We start from the raw sequence: 25,563 nt of genomic DNA on the forward strand, positions 1-25,563 counted from the left end.
CCCAGCATTCAGCTCCTTCCAGATTGAAATGAGGCCAAGATGGTGAGGTAAAAGGCAAGAAAGTTCTCACTTGATTGGCACCAGTGTAATCCAGCATTACTTTCTTCTGTCCGTGGAAGGTGATGTTGGTGGACTCTTTCCTTGTGTTTGCTTTCATGGATTCCTGGAAGATTTCTTTGTTGAGTTACTCCTATTGCAGCCCGCTTGTGTCAGGCAGAAACCAAGGGCGGGCTATGCTCAGTGCTCCTTGGATTCTGTATATTTCTGCGAAGGCCCTCTCATCCCTCAAAGTAGCTCAGTTGATCAGGAGGTCCCAGGCCAATGTTTCTACTGCATCTTCCAAGAGTCTCATACTTTGGGCCTGCCTCAGTGTAAGGGTAGTAACTGCACAAATGTAGCCTCTGCTCTTTGAGCATGTGCTGCTTCTGACAGCCTCTTCCTGCTGCCTTTTTTTTCAGTTTGTAATGAAGATATGAGTCAGATCCCAAGATGAGTAAGGGGTAAGGGTTCCAAACTCTGGTTTTCAACACCTTTGAAAATCTTGCGGCACCCTTCTTTGGCATGTGGGAATGATTGGCATGTATTGGCATGGGGCCTCAGCTGATTCTGTCTCAGTTCATCTTAGCACCCTGTAACATATGAACACATATGGCTTCCATCTTTTTTTCCACCTAGGTTTGGATTAGGAGTCCTAAGGGATCTGTAGTGCTATGGAGTTAATTCTTCTCTGGAAGATGATGATTATGTACTTAAGATGAGAGAAAACAAAAGTAAAAGCTCTTTCTCAGAATGATGATCGATATCCTGCTGAGATCATTTATGTGAATGATTTTATTTCTAGCAAAATGGTGAACAACCAGCCCTCAGGAATGGTGGAAACCAGGACTGTTCAGGGGATTACTGGCATCTGTAATGTTTACTCTGGTGCTCAGTCGTGAATGTGACTTGGCTCCCAACTCTCTTAGTCTCTGTGTCTCTAAGTTCTGATTCTGGAGAAAGGATATCTGATTGGCTCATTCCAACATTCAGGTCCAATGAGCTGGGCCCATTGCTTGCTCCTGAGGACTCTGGGATCAGACTCAGACAGGACAAGCCAGGCAGGGCAGATAGTTCCACTAACATGGCTACCACGCTCACACATTCTTTGGTCAATGGGGTTATAGAGCATTTCTTATCTGATAAACGTTTCTTGTTGCCTGTGAACGAGGAAAACTTGAACAAAAACTAAGAAACAGTGCTTTGTTTCTGTTTGTGCTGCTTTCCACATATTTGTCTCATATCTGTTATCCTGGAGATGGACACCCAGTTTGCCTCTGACACTTCACCCCCATGCATTCTGCTGCAAGTAACATCCTCATCCACCTCCCCTTAAAGGCTAGCAGCAGAATTTTTGGGGGGATATAAAACCAGAGTTGACTGGCTTGGTCATGGTGCTTGTGACACTGAAGTTGACCTATTGAAGCTAGATTGCTTCCCCAAACTGCTACACGTGTGTATATTCCCACCAGCAATGCAGATCCTTCATCTTATGCACTGAATTCTCATTTGATTGCACTGTTGCTCTGTCCACTGCAGTCATTGGGCTCCCTGCCAGCCTTGGTGACTGGGAACTTGTGGGAGCAGACTGGCCACCATCAGCACTGTGCTACCTTCCTGCCCCCACCAGCACCATCATCCTAAGTGTTCAGAGTCTTCCTGGAGTTTTAGTTCTATTACTCCTTTCCCTGCCCTCTTGATTCCTCTCTTCCCCTACCCCACTCCCCAACTACATGGTCCAGCCCAGCCAGAGTGAGTGGGCCGAGCCACAAATCAGTTAGTGCTAGAAGTGTGATTTGCAGTGACTTCTTCCAGGGAACAGCCTTGCAAAAGATCTCCTTCCCCTTACTTATGTGGGCAATAAATCAGAAAAGCAGGTAATTAATTACAACCTAAAGTAGAAAAAATCAGCTCTTCTTCAACAAAATGGCAACTGACCTTTCTCCTAGTCATGATTTAAAAAAGAACAAAGAAGGGAAGAAAGAAAAACTATTATAATCCATAATATGATTTTTCCTCAAGGGTTTGAGTTACGTGGAGGGAATTAGATAAACCATTATATTACATTGTTCTGCTTTTAGCCATGAAGTGCGGCCTATTGTGAGTAATATTTCCCAACCGGTGCCTGTCTGAAATATTTATCAGCCCAGGGTCCTAGCATTGTGACCAGGGACTTACTAAGCCACACAGTATGGGAACCGATGTTTGCTGGGATGCTATTTTTTTCATAAGAAACCTACAATAACATTTTTGTCTCTGGATGCTGATCCTGAGAGGTAATGACGTTCCATGAACTGACAGAATTTTTAAAAATCTCTTCCCCTGACAGAAAACTACAGAGAAATTTTTAAGCAGCAAAGAAAAATAGGCTAAAGGAAAATCAGAAGGAGAGAATCAATTCTGAGAGCAGCAAAAAATATAGAGATTTGGGTGATGCTTCTAAAACTGTTCTTCCCTTCCTGGGTTTTATTTTAAGGTCCTGCTGTTTGACAGCACAGATAATATTGCCCAATGTAAACTTACTAGGAAGCTTTCAATTGGGCAGTTTGTTAAACTCAGGAAACGCTTCATTTTGGCTTTTGTGTGGTCTGAAAGCCTACATCTGAGCTATTTGGTTTACTCTATCCTGGGAGTCCAGGGAGCATTCACTAACGCATCACACATTTTGTTTTGAAAGAAAACTCTTACTAGTTAGAGTCCGGGCTCAGTGCATATCATAAATATGTTTGTTTTTCTCTCTTACAGAAGCTGCAAAGAATCGATACTCCTCACTGTCATTCAGCCTTACCCTGTAAGTGTTCTGTGAATAAAAGTGCCACTTAATGTTCTCAGGCTTCTTGTTTCTTCTGCCCACTCCAGTAAAACCATAATGATGAATAACAGCAGAGAAAAATAACATGCACTCACAATATGGGTTCAAAAATCTTGACTATTTTTGTAATTTATACTCCATGTTAGCAAAGTCATTCATTGAAGAGAAAAGGGAGTAATACATTTTCTAAAGTTCTTGAAAGACAACCAGCTATTCCAGTCCTATGCAATGGTCACATTTGTAAATGACACTAAATTCAAGACCTTCTTATGCTTTTCAGCTTAAGAAACACAAATCTCATGAGACTATCTAATTGTAGGAGGTCGATGCATGATTGTTATTCTTATCCCCATCTATTTGGCAGAGAACTGGATATTTTAGCAAAGCCTGCTTTAAGAATAGATGTTATATGACATATGGTGTCAGAATTCGATTTCAGCTATCATGGTTAGGAGGGTGGAAAGTGATTTAAAAACTGGACAGTTCTTGTGATTTAAAAAAAAAAAAAAAAACGACTTTATCATGGTATAATCTGCGTACCATAAAATTCATCCATTTTCAGTGTACAGTTCTATGGTCTTCATAAAATCCACTGAGGTATGCAACGATCACCCCATCCAGTTGGAGGACATTTCCATCCCCCCAATAAGATCCCTGTTCCCATTTACAATTAATCCCTGTTGCCACACTCAGTCCTAGGCAACCGCTAATTTCCTTTCTATTTGTATAGACTTGCCACTGCTTGCAAATTTCATACGTTGTCAGTTGAACTAAAAATTACCGAGGCAAATTCCTTTAGATTTTTCCCAAAATGGTTCCTGTCAGTCTGGCCTTCGTAAGGAGTGGCAGCGATTCCAGCCTGCTTAAGCTCCTATTTTCTTCCCCATAGAGTTGGAGCATTTCTATATCAATTAAAGTGCTCTGGTATTTGCTGATCTCCATCTTCTGACCAAACTCTTCATTTCCCCTGTCCCAGAATTTTTCCCCTAAGCTCTGTGGGCTAGGCATTTTAGACAGGAAATAATAAGGATCAGGATTCTGATAAGACCACAAATAGAACTAACCAAGACAACAAATTATGCCATCTTACTATGCATATTTATATTAAAAGCTCAGTTTAATATTGACTGTCACTGTTAACTCCATCTCTTTGACAGAACTTACACACATACACATACATTGGGATTTGAAAACTAAGGAGGCCCCAGGATGTTAGAGAACCACGACTTGAGATCTAGCTCACAGCAGTATAACAAACGAGTCAGCAGTGACTACCATAGCTGCTCAGAACCTTGGTCTCCCCAACTGTCTGATTCCGAGATTCCTTCCATGTGCTTCTATAAAAAATACAGCTGGGCTGTTTTTAGATTGTTTTGGTTAATCAAATTGTCATTTTCACTTACTTCACATCTATACACATTTCTTGATTTATTTGCAGTGGACAAATTCATTTGGGTAAAGCCAATGTAAATGTCTATAATAAGCATCGAACAACTATAAATTGAGATTGAACAACTATAAATTCCTGATGGAACTTCACGTTTGCATTGTCATTCCTGAATTCTCTTTCTATATTGTATAATCTATTAGAAATGCAAGATCAGGCAGGACCTTTGTGTTTTGTTTTTTGTTTGTTTGTTTGTTTGTTTTGCAATGTGGGATACTGTTTTACCTCATGCAGTAAACTTAGAAAAAGAAAGAAGAGTTTTACATGTAAGTTTATGGTTGTGTCTTGTGGCTTTACTTGCTGTTTGCCACTGGAGTCCATGTGACTTGTTATTCATTTGAATATTGATTACTATCAGTGAATCATGGCACTTCCTTTTAACAGATAATCTGGAATTTTCTAGGAGTTCCGATGGCTCTTGCCGTTGTGCTACATTGAAAGGCAACACTTAGCCACAATATTCAGGAGGAAGTGTCACATGTTCTTATAGCCAACAGCTGTACCTCTGCTCCAGAGTCACTTTCCCCTTGCCCAATCACCGCAGATAAATTCTCATCTTTGACTTTCCTTTGACCACTCTCCTTTGAGAAATGACTCCAGTCCCACCACCTCCTCGGCCTCGCTAAATAAATCCTTCTCACCTTTCAAGTCTCAGGCCAAATTATAAATGCTACCTCAAGGTTTTTCAACCTTGGTTTTGTTGACATTTGAACTGGAGAGTTCTCTGTTATGGGGACACGTCCTGTGCATTGTAGGATGTTTAGCAGCGTCCCTGGCCTGTACCTACTAGATGCCAGTAGCATCCTCTCCCCAAGTTGTGACAAACCAAAATGTCTCCAAACATTACCAAATGTCCCTTGGGAGCAAAATTACTCCCAGCTGAGAACCACTGTCCCACCTAAAGTCTTCCCTTTACTGTTCAAATCCCAAATGGCTTTTCTCTCCTCCGAGGTGTGGAAGTTGAAATTAAAGAATTAAAACCCCAAAGTTTCTTAAATGGATATCAGACATGGAGAGGAGAGCAGATGGGAAAAAACAAGACTGCAATCTTTTACTTATATTTTTGGGTTTGGATTTTACTACAAGCAAGTTGCTTTTTGTAAAAAAAAAAAAAAAAAATACTTATTGAGTTTCATTTATTTGTTAAACATCTTCTTGGCAATCAAGACTGACAAACAGAAACGGATGACCCAGCAGACCAAAAGAAAGTCCATAAGTTCTACTTTTATTACAGACAATAAAAATTAGCATTTTAATTTCTTTTGCAACTTGCTGGACAGCATTTTTAATGTTGTATTTCTTCTGCATAAGGTCCAGTAAAGATAGAGAGCCAATGTTTATACCTTCCGGCCACATTCCACATGTGCCCAGGGTACCTCAACATGACCCAACTGCAGAAATTGATCTCCAATGAGACCTAGGTCAAGGGGGAATGGGGGTGAGAGTCTTGGGATCCCTGAAATTCTTTGATAAGAAGTAATTCTTAATAGGTTGCTGCATTTTTTAAAAAAAGTATTATGGTAGGCTTTCCCCACCACCACGATTTTTACTGTTTTTCTTGGGAAAAAAAATACTAAGTGGAAGTATAGAAAGAAATACAGATGCAGAAAAATGTGTTGGCAAACTTTTCCCGCAGAGACAACCAGTGTAAACATTTTGACCTATTTCCTTCCAGTCTTTTTTTCTATGCCTTAGTTGAGATCATATTGTACATATAATTTTATTCTGCCTCTTTTACTAAATATATCATAAACATTTCCTATGTCATCAAAAACTCTTTATAAGCATCACTTAAATGGCTGCAAAACATTACACTGAACCAAGATTTCCTTAACCAACCCCCATCACTGGGCCTTTCACATCGTCTTTATTGTTTTGCTATTATAAATAATTCCGAAAAGAAAATCTTTATGTGTAAGTCTTAATCTGTAGTTAGTATTTCCCCAGGATGGAATTTTAGAAGGGGAATTTCTGGGTTACTCATGGGTTTTATTTGTTTGGCTCCGATATACCGTCTTCTTTCCTTGTACTGTTACCCTTTTTTATTATAGATCTTTCATTGGCCAGCTCCTTCCTTTTTTCCTTTGACTCTGCTTTCTACAGTTTCCAAGTCTAGAATTCCAAAGCCAATCTTACCTGAGACAGAGAGTATTTAAAGAGTTTCTACGGCTGGGCATGGTGGCTCACGCCTGTAATCCCAGCACTTTGGGAGGCCGAGGCGGGCAGATCACCTGAGGTCGGGAGTTCGAGACCAGCCTGATCAACATGGAGAAACCCCGTCTCTACTAAAAATACAAAATTAGCCAGGTGTGGTGGCACATGTCTGTAATCCCAGCTACTAGGGAGGCTGAGGCAGGAGAATCACTTGAACCTGGGAGGCAGAGGTTGCAGTGAGCCAAGATTGCACCATTGCACTCCACCCTGGGCAACAAGAGTGAAACTCTGTCTCAAAAAACAAAAAAGAGTTTCTACAACTTCCCCTCATGCAACCCCAACTCAATGGGACTTGAGCTAAGTCATTCTCTCAGTTCTGGTGTCCCATGAGCTAGCATAATTCACATTCCTTTAGGTTTCTTCTAGTCCAAAGAGCTGAGGGACCCGCTTTCCTGCCTCCAACTTCCTAACTACATTTTACTGTGTTCCACACAGCTGAGAGAGGCTACACACCTCCTCATGGAAACCCCAGTGTAGCACATTCTATCAGAGCCCAGACCATATGTCATGCTGAGCATACCAGCCCAATTTCCAATGGAGAACACCTGTGAGTCTTTGCCTGTGGGCTCTTCCTGGCCCCAGTAGCATGCTCATGGAGCAGGCCACAAGTGCTGAGGAATTATCATTCCCAGAAAGGCTGTGTTTTGTGTTCTCTTACATGGTGGTCAGTCAGATGTAGCCACAAGAGGGGACACAGGAGACATGCGGGAAAAAGAAGTTTTTTTTATACTCACAGGTCCTAGAGAAACTGCATGCCAAGAGGAGGGGTCATATGAGAGGGAGCACCAGGGGAGCCGATTCAACCAACCAGGCGGGGACCAGACAGAGAGGTTAGAGCCTGTGGGCAAATGCCTTTATCGGGGGTCAGGGTGGAACACACAAGAAAAGTGCGAGGGAATTTCATTGGTCTCTTTAAATGTTACTAAGTCACAGTCAGGGGAGGGTGGGAAAGAGTACTTGTGGCAGGAGCTAACTTTATCACACTGGTGCACCTGGTTGCCTGGGCAGGGTGCTCACAACCTGTATGTGGGGATGTTGAGGCAGCAGGAAAATTTGAATTTTGAAAACTTACAATACAAGGAGACACTCCATCAATGATTGACAGAAACTGGTGGATAAATACCCCAGCTCCCTCTCTCCTCAGACAGTATAACTCTGAGGCATGTGGTCTACCTTGTTTCCCAGAGGTTCCCAGCAGGAGTAAGCTCCAGTTGCCTATAATGGTGCCTTAGTAACAGCGAATGCTTTACTGGTTTATTCTCCCTTCCTGCCTGCCTTCCCCACTCACCTACCTGGGATTCCTGTGAGCACCTCCCAAATCAGCTACCTGTTTGTGAATCCTTGTCTTAGGTCTGCATTTTGGAGACTCCAAACTAAGCCAACCAGTGATAACTGTAGGCGAGTCTTCACCAAATGTTCACTCAATACCTGCTATATAAGTAATACTGTACAGCTCTAGGAATTGCAAGTTCAAGACCTTGCCCTTCAATTTCAGAAATTAATCTTATTTCTGTAATTTTTTCAAGCTATGTTCTAGTAACTTCTAAGAGCATTCAAAAGCATCAGGAGCATTCCACACACTATTGTGGCCATCTTAGCAACAGCAAATTTGGAAAATGTACAGGGGTTGATTAGGGGCCTGATAATCTTAAAATTAATTAACAGTAGGAGAATCTGATTATTCTAAATGATAATTACTTGTTATTTCCACCACAGGATATGAAGTGCTTGTGATCAACACCTACAGGTTGCTCAGAATTAATTCAGCAGGCTTTCAAGTGGTACACATTGTATATTTTTTGAAAGCAAAGATAAATCTGTGTTAAAACTATAGTCATGACTGGTTTACATTACCCCATATAACACAAGTAACTCTAGCCAGTGGAATAAGCCAGTATTTTGTTGATTCTCATTAAGTAGCCTTCAGACTTGGAGAGCCTATGTAGTTGTTATCCAAAAGTAATTTCCAAAACATTTGTCAGTTTTATGAAATAGTCACAAACCCAGAACAAAAAAAGTACTTGTTATGAATTCTTAGTTAGAAGTTTACCCCGAGTCTGTTGACTTCAAATTGTGTATAAAATAATATTTACTTAACAACCTTGGCTATTTAGTTTCCTTTCTGGTCTTCCTAAATTACCATGTTTCTCATTATTGCATCGTAAATAAATACAGGAATGAAGTTACATAAAATGGGCATGCTACATATAGCTAGAGAGAGGAGATAGTACATAAGGTTATTTGCCCCTAAAGTAAATAGCCCCACGTTTACTGGCCTCAGCAGGGCTAGTAAATATGGGGCTATTTACTTCAGGGGCAAGTAACCTTACGTATTTTCGTGATCCCTGGGAACACCATGGCACTCTAAGGTTATATCAAATGATATGCATCCGAAAACTCTATATTTGTTATTGAAGCAAGGAATTAGATGGAACACTTTAGAAAAATATGGCAAAATATAACATTTAAAAATTGAGATGCATAGAGGAATAAACCTCAGTATCTGGCACACTGAACACACGTGAAACATTTCATTCCCAAACAATGCTGGAGAAGTGAGGTGTGACTGCATTAAAACATCTCATCTCATGAGTAGTGTCTGTTCTGGGTAGCTTTATTACAGCCGCTTCACTTGTGCTCAACTCATTGTGCCAATGTAAATACCGCCTGCCTAAAATCATTACGGGAGAATAATGTTTTCCCTTCAGCTAAAAAATGAAATATCAAAAGCAAATGCGCTCACCGCTGTATGATTTGCTCGTTAATCATTACTAAAGTTGGCCTATAATTACAAAGATACTGATGAGAACACCCTGTCACATCACTTCAGCTCTGCAGCAGGACTTTTAAAAGTCACGTTGAGCATGTTTAAAGCTATTCTTTCGGTTTCTTGCTGTTGTCTGTTTGTTTGTTTGTTTTTTAAAGACGGCAGCCATTCTCTTAAAACATCTTGCATAAATGGATGAATTCAAGCTCTGGGAGACAAATCATCCATTTATCCAGTCTTCTAAGACACTACTCACAGCAAAGGATGGGATCGGTGTGGAGGGGAACTTTAGAAATAACAGGATTCTCCTGGTATTAAAGCAAAAACTCCATCCAGGATACACACACACACACACACACACGCACGCACACACACGCACCCCACACACACCTTGTATCATACTTTTTTCAACAGCTTTTTTATTACAGTAAAATACACATAACATAAAATGTACCATTTTAAACATTTAAAAGTGTACAATTTCGTGGCATTAAGTACATTCAAAATGTTTTACAACCATTGCCGCTACCTAGTTCCACAACTTTTTCATCACCCTGAAAGGAAACCCCGTATTCATTAAGCATCACTCCTCATTCCCTCATTCTCCTCCACCCCCAGCCCGTGGCAACTACTAATCTACTTTTTGTCCCTATAGATTAGCCTATTCTGGACATTGCCTGTAAGTGGAATCATGCAATATGTGGCCTTTTGTGCCTGGTGTCCTTCACTTAGCAAAATATTTTCCAGGTTCATCCATGTTGTAGCATGTGTCAGAACTTCATTCCTTTTTATGGTTGAATAATATTTTATTGTACAGATGGACCACATTTGATTTATCTATTTCATCATATTGCTTTTTAAATTTAATTGATCTTAAGTATACTTGTATTTGACAAGGATGAGAGTCCTTTTTTAAATTCATTTTACTTGAAAACCAAAGTATAGGTCACCCTAGTTGGCTTTTGTATCTCTAGATTAGTACAATAAATAGAGGGTTAAGCCTCTGTGTTGTTTCTAGAGTCAATTACTAGAATTCTTTACGCAACAGCCTCTATGTCTTAAGACTACATAGCATGGAAAACGTTAGTTTGAACCATAGGCAATTGCCAATATTTGACCATTTTCATTTATAAAATAACAATTATATGATTCAAACTATTTACCTCTGTATTAGGTTTCATAGAGAATGTAATTCTTTTTAAAAATAAACAAACAATGCCTGCAACATAGTAGATATGTACTAGGTGTGAGTTCCCTTCCCCTTAGGCTTCTTTAAAATTATGCAACAATGGTGATTCTCAGATAAAGTGACTTTACCAAGATCATGCAGCAAGGGATGCCCCAGTATCACAGCACCCTTCTAGGCAGGTTCTCCCATTGTACTTCCAATTTCTGAGGAAGAATTGTGCCACATTGCCCCTCTTTCTGATAAAAGAAAGGAGAGAATCATAAAGCACAAAGAGCCCATAAGATGAGGAAGAATATGAAGTCAACTTTCAATTGTAATGAAAGGTCTCGTCTCTACCCTGCCCAGTAAGATCACAGGATCACAAGTTACCAAGAAGAGGCTAAAACTCAGGTTGCAGGTGCATAAGGCATGAGTGCTTGAGAGAGAAAGAGAGAGAGAGGGAGAGACAGAGTACTTGTCTGCTCACATGCCCATATGCCCTTAATGTGAATAACAATAGGATTATGAATCATTTTAGGACTATCAATGGCTCTTCTCCACCTCATTAAAATAGATGATTAATGATCAATTCATCATAAACCCAACATTAGATCTGACTACCACCTCACCTTGAACACTGTGCTCAAAGCTCTCTATTAAAAGCAGAGTTTGTGTGCTTTTGCAGCCATTGTTTTAAAACATCCCTGGAAATGTGCTCAGTTAAAACATGGAACATAGTGGTGGTAGTTCTGATCTGGCCACTAAATCAAACTTACTAACTTATAGACATGACAGTGTTTTGACTGCATCTATAATTTGCATTTTGTCCTTGAATCGGACATGCACCAAGCATTTTATTTTTAAGCAAAATTATTGCATACCTAAGATGGAAAACAACTGTTACAAGGTTTGCATTATGTTACCAGTAATCAGATAAAATGTTTTCTTTTCTTCTAGTCTCCCAAATCAGCATTTATTAGTGCTGCAAAAAAGGCAAGATTAAAGTCCAATCCTGTCAAAGTACGCTTCTCTGAGGAGGTCATCATCAACGGCCAAGTGTCGGTGAGTTTACAGTCACCTGCTTTGTGACTCAGGGAGAGTCAATGAGGCAGAAGCTTTGCACTCAAAACAAAGTCAGTAGTCCCACTGGAATGACTGATCTGAAATTGGTTGTTGGTTTTTACAGAGGTGTCAAATCTCAAGGTTGTAAAGGGCTTGAGAGTTCATCAGGTTGGGCCTGAATCTCCTCTAGCACGGTCAGAATATGTGGTAGTCCAGGATTTCCTAGAATGCTTTCAGTGTCAGAGACATCACTACTTTGCAAAGGAGTTCATATGATTTGGGATCACTGACACTGCCTCATTCATACTCAGTAAAATATGCGTCTTTGAAACTTCCACCTTTTTCTTCCCATTCTGCTAAATAAGCATTCTTCCATATGATAGTGCTTTATGTATTTTTGAGAAAGGTATTGTGTTTCTCCTTTTTACTTCCCCAGAAAAGCCTAATCTTTCAACTAATCAGGCAAAGAACTTAAAACGATGGAAAAATTTTATGTAGGCAACCAGAACTGAAGAAATACTGCCCACATCTCCATAAATAGGTCCTGATAGAAATCATGATTACTCAGGCAATTAACTGAACTTCAGAATGAATAATGCAACTATCAACAGGATGTTTTGACTTTTTCTCCCAAAAATATACTGAAGTGTTTTCAGTTTTTAGAAAACTATCATCCAAGGCACTAATATTTTTTGGACCTTTGAAATGCCAGAGCGTTGGTGTTCTGTTGGTATTGTTTAAATAAATCCACGAGGATAAAATCTCACCTATGATATATTCATTATTGATCACAAACTCTTCTCTGAGGTTGGTTCTGGATCTGAATCTGAATCTGAAGATGTAGGCCTATACATCCTGGGCAAGGCACTCATGCTCCAACTGTCTTTGAATCAAAACTTACTGATCTAGGGCTGCTCCACTTGGGGTCCAGCTATTGTGATGCTTGTGGGGAAGGCTAGAGGCTGTGGCTGTGCTGCCCTGTGAGCATGGTCTGTTCTGTGCCTCTCAATGTGTCCCATCACTCTGGATGCACGGTCACTGTACATTATTAATTTACAACAAGACTGTCCCAGCTGAAGGGTGGAAGGTACAGAGGAATCAATATGTAGCAGAAAGTCATCTGAAACTTACCTTTTCTGCCCAGAGCTTTCGAGCGTGTAATTGGGCAACCAGGTAGTTTATGCATCTTTAGAAAGAATATGATTCTAGAAGCTGCTACAGCAGTGTCAGTTCATCCCTGGATATAGCAGGACTCCTGCAAGGCAGCTGATGTGTAAGGACACCTCTGAGGATAATCATCTCCTGAAGCCTCCACAGCCCTGCCACAGGCTTGTGGATGGCAGGGATGTTCGGTCACGTGGATGCTCCTCAGACTTCATGACTGTCTTCATTTCCAGTTTACCCTTGCTCTTCTGAGTCACTGAGTGCAATTTCTTCTGGACTGGGATCCAGATTTATTCAGTGACTTGAGAGCAAGACTGTGCGGGAAGTCCACAGGAGCAGAAAAGAGGGGGAGGAAATTCAGGAAAAGAAATAGGAAGTGAAAGGCAGGAGGCCTATTATGGAAATACTTAGGGACTGAATTCTCTCTGACACTGGCAAATTCCTGAATATCTTGCCTTCAGTTCCTTCATGTGCAAAACAAGGGATGTGTGCACTCATGACTGCTGAGTTCTCCTCAACTCCTAGGACTTTATGACCAACTACATGTGAATAACTCAGCTCACTCCTGGGACTTATAGAACTCATTCAGTGTGCCCCCTTCCTCCCTCTTTCTTCTCTCTCATCTCTCACTACTTCCAATGAAAGAAAAAATGCAAAGAAATAACATTTCTATTGTTTGCTTTTTGTCATGTTTCAAGCTGGCATCTTTTTCTGAGTTATTTCTAGATTATGATCTTGTTCATTATAGACAATGTTTTACTCTCTTAACACACTAAGCCATTCCTTATCTTTTCCCTTGGAGTTTTGTTTTTTGTTTTTGTTTTTGTTTTTGTTTTTGTTTTGCAGTTGCAACATTTAATAGAGTTCCCTTGGAGTTTAAGACTCATTCCTAACTGGGTGAAAATACTTTCACAAAATAACTTTATACTTGAAGCTTATTTATGCTGGTGACTCACCATCATGACACTGCTAGGCAACAACAGTACCTCATCAAACAGCATCATTGCTGGTCTTTTTTCTGCTCAAGACGTCCTGCCCTGCTTAGGTCTGGGCTTGTAGTTCCAAATGTCAAAGCCTAATCACAAAAGAATCACGTCTGCAATCATGTTTGCCAGTGGGGAATCTTGAGTTAAAAAAACCTCATCTGATTGATTTTCTGATGAGCAAATGTATTTTTCTATGAGCAACTTAACTCACATATCACCAAAGGAATGCCTTGTTGGCCTTAGAGAGTTTGATTGTTTTTTAATGCCATGCTTAGAATAAAGTATAGATGTGCTGCTACTGCAAAGAGAAGAGTTATAATTTGATCAATTTATGCCCTGCCCTTTTTTTTGTTAAACAGGAAACTGTTAAGGACAACTCACTTCTTTTTATGCCAAATGTTTTGAAAGTCTATCTGGAAAATGGGCAGACCAAATCATTTCGTTTTGACTGCAGCACTTCCATTAAGGTAAGATGACCTGGTAAACTCTGTCCCTGGACGCTTTCAGGTACAACATGCAGGACACTGTGAGCCATTGTAGCAGCATCTTCTTTCAGAACTATCCCTTTATTTCTGCAGTTTTGTTGATTGCCTCCATATAATGTAGTCTGTGAATACTTCAAACCAAACCAAAGCCAAAAGCTTAAACCAAGAAGGCTCTGCTCTTTTATTTCTCTTGGTGTTGCAAAACAATATAATATGCTGTCAGTGAAGAAACACTAGAGCTAGTCATTTTGATGCAACTACAGATTAATTAAAATAGTGTGACTATCACCAAGAAGGCTTGGCACCCTGCCCAAGGCCAGCATGATTTCTCAGCAATATCAGCTGCTCAGAAGATTAAGCTGTTAGCTGTTAATTGAATATTTGCTACTTTGGTGTCCAGCAAAAAACAAGGGGTAGAGTAATGTAAAAGTAACATTTACTTTTAATTTCTGTAACCAATTTCATGGTAATGATGCATAAAGAGGCAGAAATGAGGCCTGCTTCTTAGAAGAAGGGCTGGAAAGGAAGACTCACAAAGCAATCCTATTCTTTCAGAGCCACAGGTGAGTTTTAGATAATAGGTATTATAGCAAAGCATATGGTTTTTTTCCCCACATGCTTTCTTCCTGGAAAAGAAAAGTACAGAGTCTCTTCCTTTTATTGGACAAAAGTGTATTCAGAAATTGATTGCTCCCTAATGCTTCATCAGCCTAAAATAGGCTTTCTTCCCATGGCACAGTAAAAAAGATTTTATGAAGGTAAAAGAGTACCTAGTGATTATCTGTATAATAATCTATCAAGAGAATATCAACCCTCTGTTAAAAAATGTCTATCAATATCCGACCTCTAATTCTTGTTGGTTTTTTTAATTAATCAGCATAGACCTCACACATAGAAGCATTTCTGCAAAGACCCATTCACTGTGTATTCTTATTGTCACGATACCAGCAAGCAGCTCGTTTTGAATTGCTATAAGTATGTAGTGGCTTAATACGTCATGCAGTGGAAAATATTAGATTGATGTTGGAGCATTAAATCATCCTCAAATCATTCCAGATGAAATATTAACTTCCTTCATACAAGACTTCTAATTTTAAATGGTGATGACTGGACAGGTCTTCTTCCCTTTTTCCTCATTCATTATCAATTTGTGGTGAGATGTTAATATAATTATTGATCAACTAACCCAAGAGTAGGCAAACTTTTTCTGGAAAGGGCTAGATAGTAAACATTTTAGGCTTTGTGGGCCATTTGATCTCTGTTTCAACTACTGAACTCTGTCATTGTATCAGGAAAGCAGCCATGAACAGGTGGGTTTGGTTAGTCCTTAAGACAATGCTCAGTCTTGATAATTCACTCAAAGGACCCACAGAACTCAGCAATTTGTTATACTCACAATTACAGCATATTATAGCAAAAGAATACAGAATAGAATTAGCAATGGGAAAGGCTCATAGTCAGGGCACAGGAGAGATTGAGTGGAAAGCCTCCAGATGTCCTCTTCCAGTGGATTCATACAGGTAATGCTTAATTCTCCCAGAAATGATGCATGACAATATGCATCAAGTACTGCCAACCAGGGACGTTCACCCAAGCCTTGGTGTCCAGAGTTTTTATTGGGGGTTTTCCACGTAGACACAGCTAACCACCTGCATGGTTGAACTTAGTATCCAGTCTCTCCAGAGTTAGAGCTGATACCATATGGCCCAATGTTCTCACTATAAATCAATTGTTAGCGCAGACTATCTGGTATGGCCCAAGGCCACCCAGTAAACAAAAATACTCCTATCAGACAGGACAGTCCAAGGGCTTACAGGTTACTTCCTAAGAGTGGGAGAAAAAGAGCAAATTTTTCTTTAGGCAAGGTTAATCTGTTACTTCACAGTCAATATGTGAACAAATGGGCATGGCCAGATATAACCCGCAGGTCATAGTTGGCAGACCTCTGAAATAACCTACAGAGCTACATTATTACAGCCCTTTCTGACACCATGGCCTTGTTTTGTGTTGCCAACTGGTCAACTCCCTGCCATTGGACTCCCTACCCCACCTGAAGACCGAGGTAAAGACTTGAATGCATTTCTTAACAGAAATAAATCTAAATTGAAGAAAGCCCTGTTGTCCATTCCCTCCAGCCTCTTTATTACGGAACATATGCAAGACTAAGTTTGATTTCCCTGAGGATTGCAGATGACAATGAGAAGACAGGAAGAAATGCAAAGAGTTCACATCAAATTCAAGTTATCTTATCTTATACCTAACAGCCTCATTATTACAATAGACACTGGCTGGTAGGTGTAAAGGAGAAATAGTATAGTTATGAAAGGAATATGACACTGTGTAACAAAAATTGCCAAAATTCTTGCTGCAGAATTACAATAGGGAAAAACTCTTGCTATTGATTTTCCAATGTCCTCCCTGGTGGTTCAGGAAAATGCTTTATAAAGTATTTGTTGCCACACAAAGGCTGGTTTTGTTTTCTCTTTCCTGGGCTTTAAGAGAAAATTATAAAGCAGGGAAATCTTTTTTTTTTTTTTTCTTGAAATTCAACATAGTCAAGGCATTTCTCTTGAATGATTTTTTTTCAGGAGTGGGTGGATGTGGGGATCTTTGATTTAATGGGGCCTGAAGAAATTGAAAAAGGACCACAGAGAAGGATTAAAACATCAGAAAAGTCAGTAAAAGAAAACTATAAGTTTTCACTCTAAGGTTTCCGGATCTTGACACTGTTGAGATATTGGGCCAAATCATTCTTTACTGTGGGGCTGTCTCTGCATTGCAAGATGTTGAGCAGCATTTCTGGCTTCTACACACTCCATGGCAGTAGTGTCCCCAACCCTATTGTGACAACCAAAAATGTCTCCAGAAATTTCCAAATGTTGCACTGGGGCAAAACTTCCCTATAGAATTTTTAGCATCTGAGTCTAAATTATCTTCGAGGGATCATTTACCAGTTTTCAAGTACATGAAAAAAGTATAGGTTGAAGAGATTAGTTTTACATTGTAGTAAATGTGTGTGTTTGTACATGGAACACCTTTCTGATCATAAATGCTTAATCCTATAAAAGATTGCTGACAAAGCTTGCTCATTCCACCTTCCCCAGAGATGTAAAATAAATATATGTATATTATTATGGTGCCCTCACTCTGTGCCAAACAATGTTATAATAAACGCTTTGTATGTGTGAACTCATTTAATCTTTATATCCGTTCTGAGATAAGCATTATTATTATCCCCAGTTTACACACAGGGAAACTAAGATACTTAGCGACTAAATAACTTCCCCAAAGCTGCACAGCTAATAAGTAGTAGAGCTGGGATTAGAAGCCTAACTGTTTTCTTAGCCCCTATTCCTTACAACCACTACACTGCTCTTTCAGAAGGGGAAGCCAGGGTCAGCAAGCAGATATTTCAGTCTTCACAGTCTCTGTTGCAGCTACTCAACTCTGCTGATGCAGCACACAAGAGCAGCCATAGATTTTAGATAAACAAATGGGTATGACCACGTCCCATTAAAACTTTATTTACAAAAGCTGATGGTGAGCTAGTTTTGGCATGCAGGCCATGTTTTCCAACCCTTGGGGCAGACCACTTTCAGAACTGGTTTAATTGCTACCCCATTTAGAAAAAAGGAGAATTGAACTGGCTACACTGCACAATCTATTGACAACCTTTCTATATCAAGAGCTTACATGATATTAAGCTTCTCCTCCAGCTATTTACCTTGTTAACTCTCTGTTGTGAACTCCATAAAGATTTTGAATGATCGAGGAGGCCAGGAAAAGGGCAAGAGAAGGAAGGCTTCATTTCTGCATCTTTTTGGATATTTGGAGCATTAAATTTCAGAATCAACCAAACGTATAAAATTTCAAGATTGGCAGCCTACATGTGTAACACTTTTCAGTCATGGTAGACTCCACAAGATGGCAGCTTCGATTTTGGTCTCATCATGTTCATGTTTCCTCTGTAAGGATGTCATCTTAACCCTTCAAGAGAAGCTCTCCATCAAAGGCATTGAACACTTCTCTCTCATGCTGGAGCAGAGGACAGAAGGGGCTGGAACGAAGCTGCTCTTGCTTCATGAACAGGAGACTCTAACTCAGGTCTGTGAAATCTCACCCTCAAGTGATGAGGCTGCAGGTTAGAGCAGAGGTTGCCCAGTCCAAGATTTCTCCCCCACTCTAATCCTGTAAATGTATTAATTGTATCCCTGGGTATCCTCTGTAAAGGAAGTGCTGGCATTCTTAATGCATTTTACACCTCAAGGTCATGTTTCCCTTTCTGCCCATCTTTTGCAGACTGTCAGTCTCACAACTAGATTTGTCATTCAAAGTCTCACCAGCTGCACATTGAGAATACAGCTCTGTAAAATTATATTTTATGGGATTACAGTGATCTGTTCACCTGTTTTGGTCAACAATCTCTTGAAACCATTAAAAAGAAATGGTTTCTGGGATTACTTAAATTAATCCAAAATCATATTTAGTTGTCTGAAATTCTGGGTGCATACTTAAGACTATTTTTGGAAGCCTGAAATCTCTGCCCCAGTCCTGCCCGCTATAAATATGTGATCTACCAATGTGTCCCAGTTCCTGATTACCAAGATGCCACCCCCATCTGTTCCCTGGGGAGACAAGCAGGCTGCTTAGCTGCTGAATTCAGCGCAGCACCCTGATTTTTCTTGTGACACAAGCAAAGTCTTTGTTGAACGTATAAAAGATTTCAACAAATTTCTCTTCCATAGGAGAGATCAATGATAACAGAACTTTATGGAAAGGGGTAGGAGGGGACACCAGGAGGAGAAGCATCAGATGCTGCCAGCTGGATGGAGTGGCAAAAAGTGTTGTCATACTAAAGTGCTTCTTCCTTGTTGTATATAAAAGCTGGTGTCCCACACATTGGGTCCTGCAAATATCCCCGATTCTCTTGATTCAGTCCAACTTTTTGTAATAGATTAGTTCAAAAGTTGCCATCTGTGATTTATATTCCTCTACCCAAACTTGGCTTATTATTTCCATCAAGTTTTTTGGGGTTTTTTTTGTTGTTGTTGTTTTGTTTTGTTTTGTTTTGTTTTTTTGAGACAGAGTCTCACTCTGCTGCCCAGAGTGGAGTGCAGTGGTGCAATCATAGCTTATTGCAGTCTTGAACTCCTGGGCTCAAACGATCCTTCCACCTTAGCCTCCCAAAGTGCTGGGATTACAGGAATGAGCCCCCATGCCTGGCCTCTATTGAGTCTAAATCTACCTATAGATATTTTAAATCACTTCTAATGGTTATTATTTTAACCTGTGCCAAACACTCTTGGAAATAAAGGACTTATTTTATGCTTCATTACAGGGGCACAACCCCTGATATACAGAATCTCTCATGTGAAAGGTCAGTGTCTGGATCTGAGTTCCTCCAGAGGCAGAACTTAAGGATTTGAATGCATGTAGTTTATCTGGGAAGAGATATCTGGAAATACCCACAGAGGAATGGGGAAGAGAGATGAGAAAAATTGAGAGGCCAATAAAGAATGTATTATCAAACCAGTTTCTACTGTGGGTAACTGGAGCTCAGTCCTACCGGAGAGCACTGGGAGACAGTGTAGGACGCACCTCAGAGGTATCCCACCGAGAGGCGAGGGAGCTGGGACATGTGCCTACTGACATGCTGTCTGTTATTGATAGTGGGCTACTCTCTTGTTATTGGGGTTTGCCTTGTGCTATCGAATGGTCACAGGTGTTTGCTGTAAATATCCTTCAGCTTATAGCAATAAATGCCAAGGGGAAATGGGCAGACATCCAGTTACTACGAGTCTAATGAAACCCCCCACAACGTTTTGATCTTTCTGGTTATACTTTCTCTCTAAACTTTTATCTACTACATAGCCATTATAGGAAAGCTTCATGCTGATTTAGTTGGACAAAAATTCTCTAAAAGTCTCTTCTGATGCTAGGTAAACACAACTTCCCGCTCCAGTTACATTTCTTTTAAAATGTTGGAAGGAAATAAACTTCTAATAATCATTCTTTCTTTAACTTTATTTTTCCTTATAGAATCAGAACTAGAAGTGAAGTGCTAAAAATCAAGTGAAGTGCTAAAAATCTCTAGAAAAGAAAACGGATTTAAATATCCTGAAACAAACCAGCTATATGCCTTTGAAATCAATGCATATGAAAAAATCGATTGCTAAAATATTTGTAGGCATGATAAAAGTGGAGAGTAAGAAATTATATTTTTTCCAATAATAAAATCATTTTAAAACATTTAATTTCTATGAAAACCTCCCAATGGAACTTTTAAGCAACTTTACCTGAATTTCTAGTGGTTTGATACTAAACTTCTGCTAGAAAACATTATTTATATACTACTTAAAGTTTCCAAGAAATTGTTTCTGTTTGTTTATTTTAGAAAGTGTTATGGACTGCCATTTCTAATGGCTTGAGGCAACCTTTTTGCATTACGTTAATTCATTTCCCAAAACCAGTGTAACCTTCTGATACTAAAAGTAAACTCAAGATAAGATGGCTTATGGAAAATTCAAGAAAGAAAAGTTGAACCAGTAATTAAAGGAGTCAGAGATATAGTGATTCCTGACTTTCTAACACACCAGGACAAACCTTCTGGCAAAATAGCTCATGAAGTCGCTGTGAAACACAACAGCAAGGCTGGCCAGCACTAGTGGCCTCTTAGTGTCCCCAATTTCTTTATTCCTGGTTTGCTTTACCCTCAGCCAGTGATAAGTAGCCCATAGCCCTCAAGTCTCAGGAATCCACTCGGCTCTGCAGGCCTGCCCACAGCCAGAAAGCTGGTGTGACTACTCAGGATGCCCACATATGTACAAGTAGGGTGTCTTTTTCCATTGGAATTCTTCTGTTCAACAAAGTTAGCGAACTGTAAATACATACACATGCATGCATACACACACCACGGGACTCAATAAAGCTATTTTATTTTAAATTTTTTAATTGCAGCTCACATTTTTGTATTGCCAGATCTGTCCCCTGCATAAGAGTATTACACACAACTGTGTTGGTTCATGCTGCATGGTTTTCATTTTGTTTTGTTGACTCCTTGAAGGGAAATCGATGAGCTCTTGCCTTCTTTCTTAGAGTCCAATGTCTTTCATTCATTCAAGTGTTTATTAAACACCTATTATTATTTATTAATTGATTTCCTTTTGTTGCAAAAGGAATTAAGAAACGAACTTCTAGTATGTGACACATATTATGCTGTATAAAATGAAAACAAACTGAAATGAGCCATGGTCCTTAACCCTGAAGAACCTGTGGTATATTTTAAGCTCCATTGAGCAAGTGGAACAATATCATCATGATATCAGAAGTTTGGAGTAGTTTGAATACTTGTAGAATCTGGTGTACTACATGGGCCAAAACTTCTGTCTTCCTACTTTCCAATGTGATGTCATCTAAGGTTGACACTATCATGTTTTCATTGCAATAGTCAGTCTGGAGTCTAATTTGGAAAAACAAAACAAAACACAGCAATGTTATGCAATAATAAACCATACTGGACAATCTCTCTGCTGTCTCTTTGGATCCCCTTTTTGTACTCCCCAACATAGATTTGGGGTGCTATCACTAACAGCCAGCATCTGCAGATCTTCTTCCAAGGACTGCCCTCAGACTACCGGAGCCCATCGTGTCCAAACCTGGAAACTCACATCCCCTGGGACAGCTCTAAATGAATGACTCATCAGTGCTCCTTTGGCTGAGGTCTCAGCAGCTCTGTGGTATAGCTACCACTCCATGGTCTCCTGCAGGATCAGGCTATAGCTACTCTCTGCTGGGGTTCCCTGAGGAGGCACCCTTGCTTGGCTTCCTCTTCTTTCCTGACCTGCTTCCCCCACTCCCTTACTAGCCTCCCCTGGGAGCACTTTCTTAATAAGTCCCTTGCACACAACCCCTCATCTCAGGGTCTGCTTCTGGGGAACCCAACCTAAGTGGCAAGGTTATGTGTAGTTTTCAGGGAATGAGTATCTATAAATACTAAAAGAATATCCGCTGATTCTTTCCTTAGTGTCCAAAAAAAGTCGACTGCTTCAGTGTCCCTCAGCCATTTCTCAGTCAGCACTGAAGGGTTCTTGTGTGATTGGTCTACTCTTCCAGGTGACACAGAGGCCCAGCTCCCATAAGATGAGATGTCTTTTCCGAATTAGCTTCGTCCCAAAAGATCCAATTGACCTTTTAAGGAGAGATCCAGTTGCTTTCGAGTATCTCTATGTTCAGGTATGTTAAAATTTTGGCATGTTTTATATCAATGTTGTGATATAAACTAACTCTGGGGCTTTGCCCTGAATTCTTTAACTTGAAATCTTTCTTTTTTGTCCCCCACCTCAAGCTCAGTGAATCGTACGATAATTCTATGATGCTCTTTTTATTTTTACGTTTGATTTTGAAATAACATCATACTTCCAAAAAAGTTGCAAGAGTAGTCATCTATACCCTTCACCCAGATTCACCAGTTGTTAACATTTTACCACATTTACTTGCTCTTTAGTATATACACGTTTTCTCTGCCCACACAAATACACATACAAATGTATATAATTTTTTTCTAAACCATATGAAGGTCAATTACCAAAATAATTCTGGTTTACTCCTAAATACTTCAGTGTGTGTTTTCTAATAACAAAGACATTTTCTTATACAATTATTATACAAGTAACAAAATCAGGAAAGTAAACATTGATACATTTCCATTATCTCATCTACAGTTTATATCCATATTATGCCTATTATCCTCAAAATGTCTTTTATATATACATTTTTTCTAGAACAAGATGCACTGCAGGATCCCATTTTGCACTTAGTTGTCATGTCTCTTTAATCTCCTTAAATCTGGAACATTCCTCAGCCCTTTTTTGCCTTTCACGACCTTGATAGTTTTGAGGAGTACTAGTCAGCTATTTTATAGAAATCTCTCAATTTGGGTTTCTCTGATGTTTTCTTATGATTAGATTGATGTCATACATTTTGGGAAGAACAACGCGAGTGACTTTGTGTCCTCAGTGTAACACATCAAGAGGCACATGATGTCAGTTTATCCCTTTAATGGCAAAATGAACTTCGACTCTTGGTTAAGGTGATGTTCTCCGAATTCACCCAAAAGCTACTACTATTCCTTTTGTAATTAAAAAGTAATTTGTGGAGAGTCACTTTGTAACTCTTTTTTTTTTATTTATTTATTTATTTTGAGACGGAATCTTGCTCTTGTCACCCAGGCTGGAGTGCAATGGCATGACCTTGGCTCACTGCAACCTCTGCCTCCCGGGTTCAAGTGATTCTCCTGCCTCAGCCTCCCAAGTAGTTGGGATTACAGGTGCCTGCCACCACGCCCAGCTAATTTTTGTATTTTTAGTAGAGACGGGGTTTTGCCATGTTGGCCAGGCTGGTCTCAAACTCCTGACTTCATGATCCACGCACCTTGGCCTCCCAAAGTGCTGGGATTACAGGCGTGAGCCACCGTGCCCGGCCTGTAACTCTTATTATCTTCTTCATCAAACTCTCACCCACTAGTTTTAGTACTGAATGATGATTTTTTTCTTTTTTTGAGACGGAGTTTCGCTCTTGTTGCCTTGGCTCACCGCAACCTCTGCCTCCTAGGTTCAAAAGATTCTACTGCCTCAGCCTCCCGAGTAGCTGGGATTACAGGCATGCACCACTACTCCAGGCTAATTTTGTATTTTTAGTAGATATGGGGTTTCTCCATGTTGGTCAGGTTGGTCTCGAACTCCCACCCTCAGGTGATCTGCCCACCTCAGTCTCCCAAAGTGCTGGAATTATAGGCGTGAGCCACCGCGCCCAGCCCTAATTGATTATTCTTATCTGAATCCATTATTATAATTGTGGTTGAAAATTATGATTTTTCTAATTTCATTATTGCTTCTGCATTTATTAATTGGTATGATGAGAGTTTTCCCTTCTCCTTTATTTACTTATTTGTTCATTCATTTGATGCTTAAATTATTCTGTAAAATTGTGATATTCATTTTACTGAATTGTTAATTTCAACGTGGTAAAACTTGAAGAGAACAGTCTTTTCCAGACTGATATCTGATTCTGAGCTATAATTCCCCAAAGATGAAAGTTTCCAGGAATGAGTATCTGGTGTAGTTTGTCCCAAAGGGAATTTATCCAAGTTGATATTTATGAGGTGTTCCTATATTTTACTATAACTGCTTCCTATTACTCTCACTTAAATTTCCAATATAATCACATTAAACAGTAAGAACCAACTGACCTAATCCTTAGACAGCTTAGACATCTAGCAGTAGAACTAACTACTCGAAGAGGTTGCAAATCTAAACATAACCTCCCCCTCCCCACTGCCAGAAAGAGAGAAAAAACAAAAATGAAGCAAAAAAAAAAAAAAAAAAAAGACACACTGTCTTTGAGAATATCTGTATAAGGCAAAGATTGCTGGAGCCATATATAAAAGATATAAAGCAAAAATGTAAGAAAAATATAATAAAAAGAAGCATTTGTTAACTCTAGGTAGTTAATAACACTGGTGTTTGCTTTACCATTTCCAATACTTTCCTGTATATTTCAAAACATTTGTAATCTTCAAAAGCTGGGTAGAAAAAAAAGTAGGCGGAAGATGGAAGAGAGACTAGACAAGGTAGGTATCAGAGGTTAAGAATGGTGACATAAATTAAAGTGGCAATAAGCCCTGAAGATCACAGGTTAAGTCAGACAGGAAAGACACAGAACATACAAGAATGTTCTAGCAGATGGGGGCACTCAGGGTGAGGCCAGTCAAATTTTCCCCACCTCAGTGGTCTTTGGAAGACTGTGGTATTTACAGCTCAGTGGGATGATTAATGTTCATGAAGATAACCCTACATCATTGGGAAAAGTCAAGTCCTGTTCAATGAACCCTGTTGACCAAGTAAAGAAATGTGTAGTGTGCTTTAAAATATTTTCCACCCCGAACAACGAAACTGCCACGTTTTGGGTTTTTTAAATGTTAAGCTTTGATCACCTGGACCCCTCACTTGTCAACAATATCTCCTTGTCCCCAGCAGGCGTGACTGCATGAAACAGAGCCTGATTCTCAGCTGATCTGTTACTGCATCTTCCCCATGTCCCTGCTGAAAACCAACCCAGGGCTTTGCTACTGCAGCTCAGATCATGTGCTACATTGTTAGTTGCAAATAAATAGTTATAGGCGCTGGTCAGTAGTCGCTGTAGACAGTGAGTGCATTCAGTGGTTTTTCTCTATAATTATATACTCACCCCATTCACAAGATGGTGCTTTAAAACTATTTTACTCTGCTTCCATTTAAACATCACGAGTCCATTGCATTTATAAAAGAACAATGTGGTTGCATTTGTCTTGGGGAGAGGAGACCTCTTAAGTAGACAAGGAGTACAGCTAAACCCAGTTCTGTTTAAGGTGTGTTTGCACAAATCT

At 39.8% G+C, this 25,563-nt stretch overlaps 1 protein-coding gene across 14 annotated transcripts in view; it reads left to right on the plus strand.

The window, feature by feature from the left end:
* Positions 1-25,563, plus strand: part of FRMPD4 (FERM and PDZ domain containing 4) — a 902,085-nt gene that overhangs the window by 849,643 nt on the left and 26,879 nt on the right. For 13 of the 14 annotated variants that reach the window (NM_001368398.3, NM_001368395.3, NM_001368402.3 and 10 more), the window contains 5 exons: positions 2,782-2,827; positions 11,402-11,506; positions 14,016-14,123; positions 18,114-18,245; positions 22,254-22,373. In NM_001368398.3, the coding sequence (NP_001355327.1) occupies positions 2,782-2,827; positions 11,402-11,506; positions 14,016-14,123; positions 18,114-18,245; positions 22,254-22,373 (511 nt within the window). Of the gene's footprint in view, positions 1-2,781; positions 2,834-11,401; positions 11,507-14,015; positions 14,124-18,113; positions 18,246-22,253; positions 22,374-25,563 lie in introns of all 14 variants that reach the window. The other variant, NM_001368396.3, reaches the window with a different exon arrangement.

This window comes from Homo sapiens, chromosome X (assembly GCF_000001405.40).
Source record: "Homo sapiens chromosome X, GRCh38.p14 Primary Assembly".
In the NCBI taxonomy this organism is placed as follows: Eukaryota; Metazoa; Chordata; class Mammalia; order Primates; family Hominidae; genus Homo; species Homo sapiens.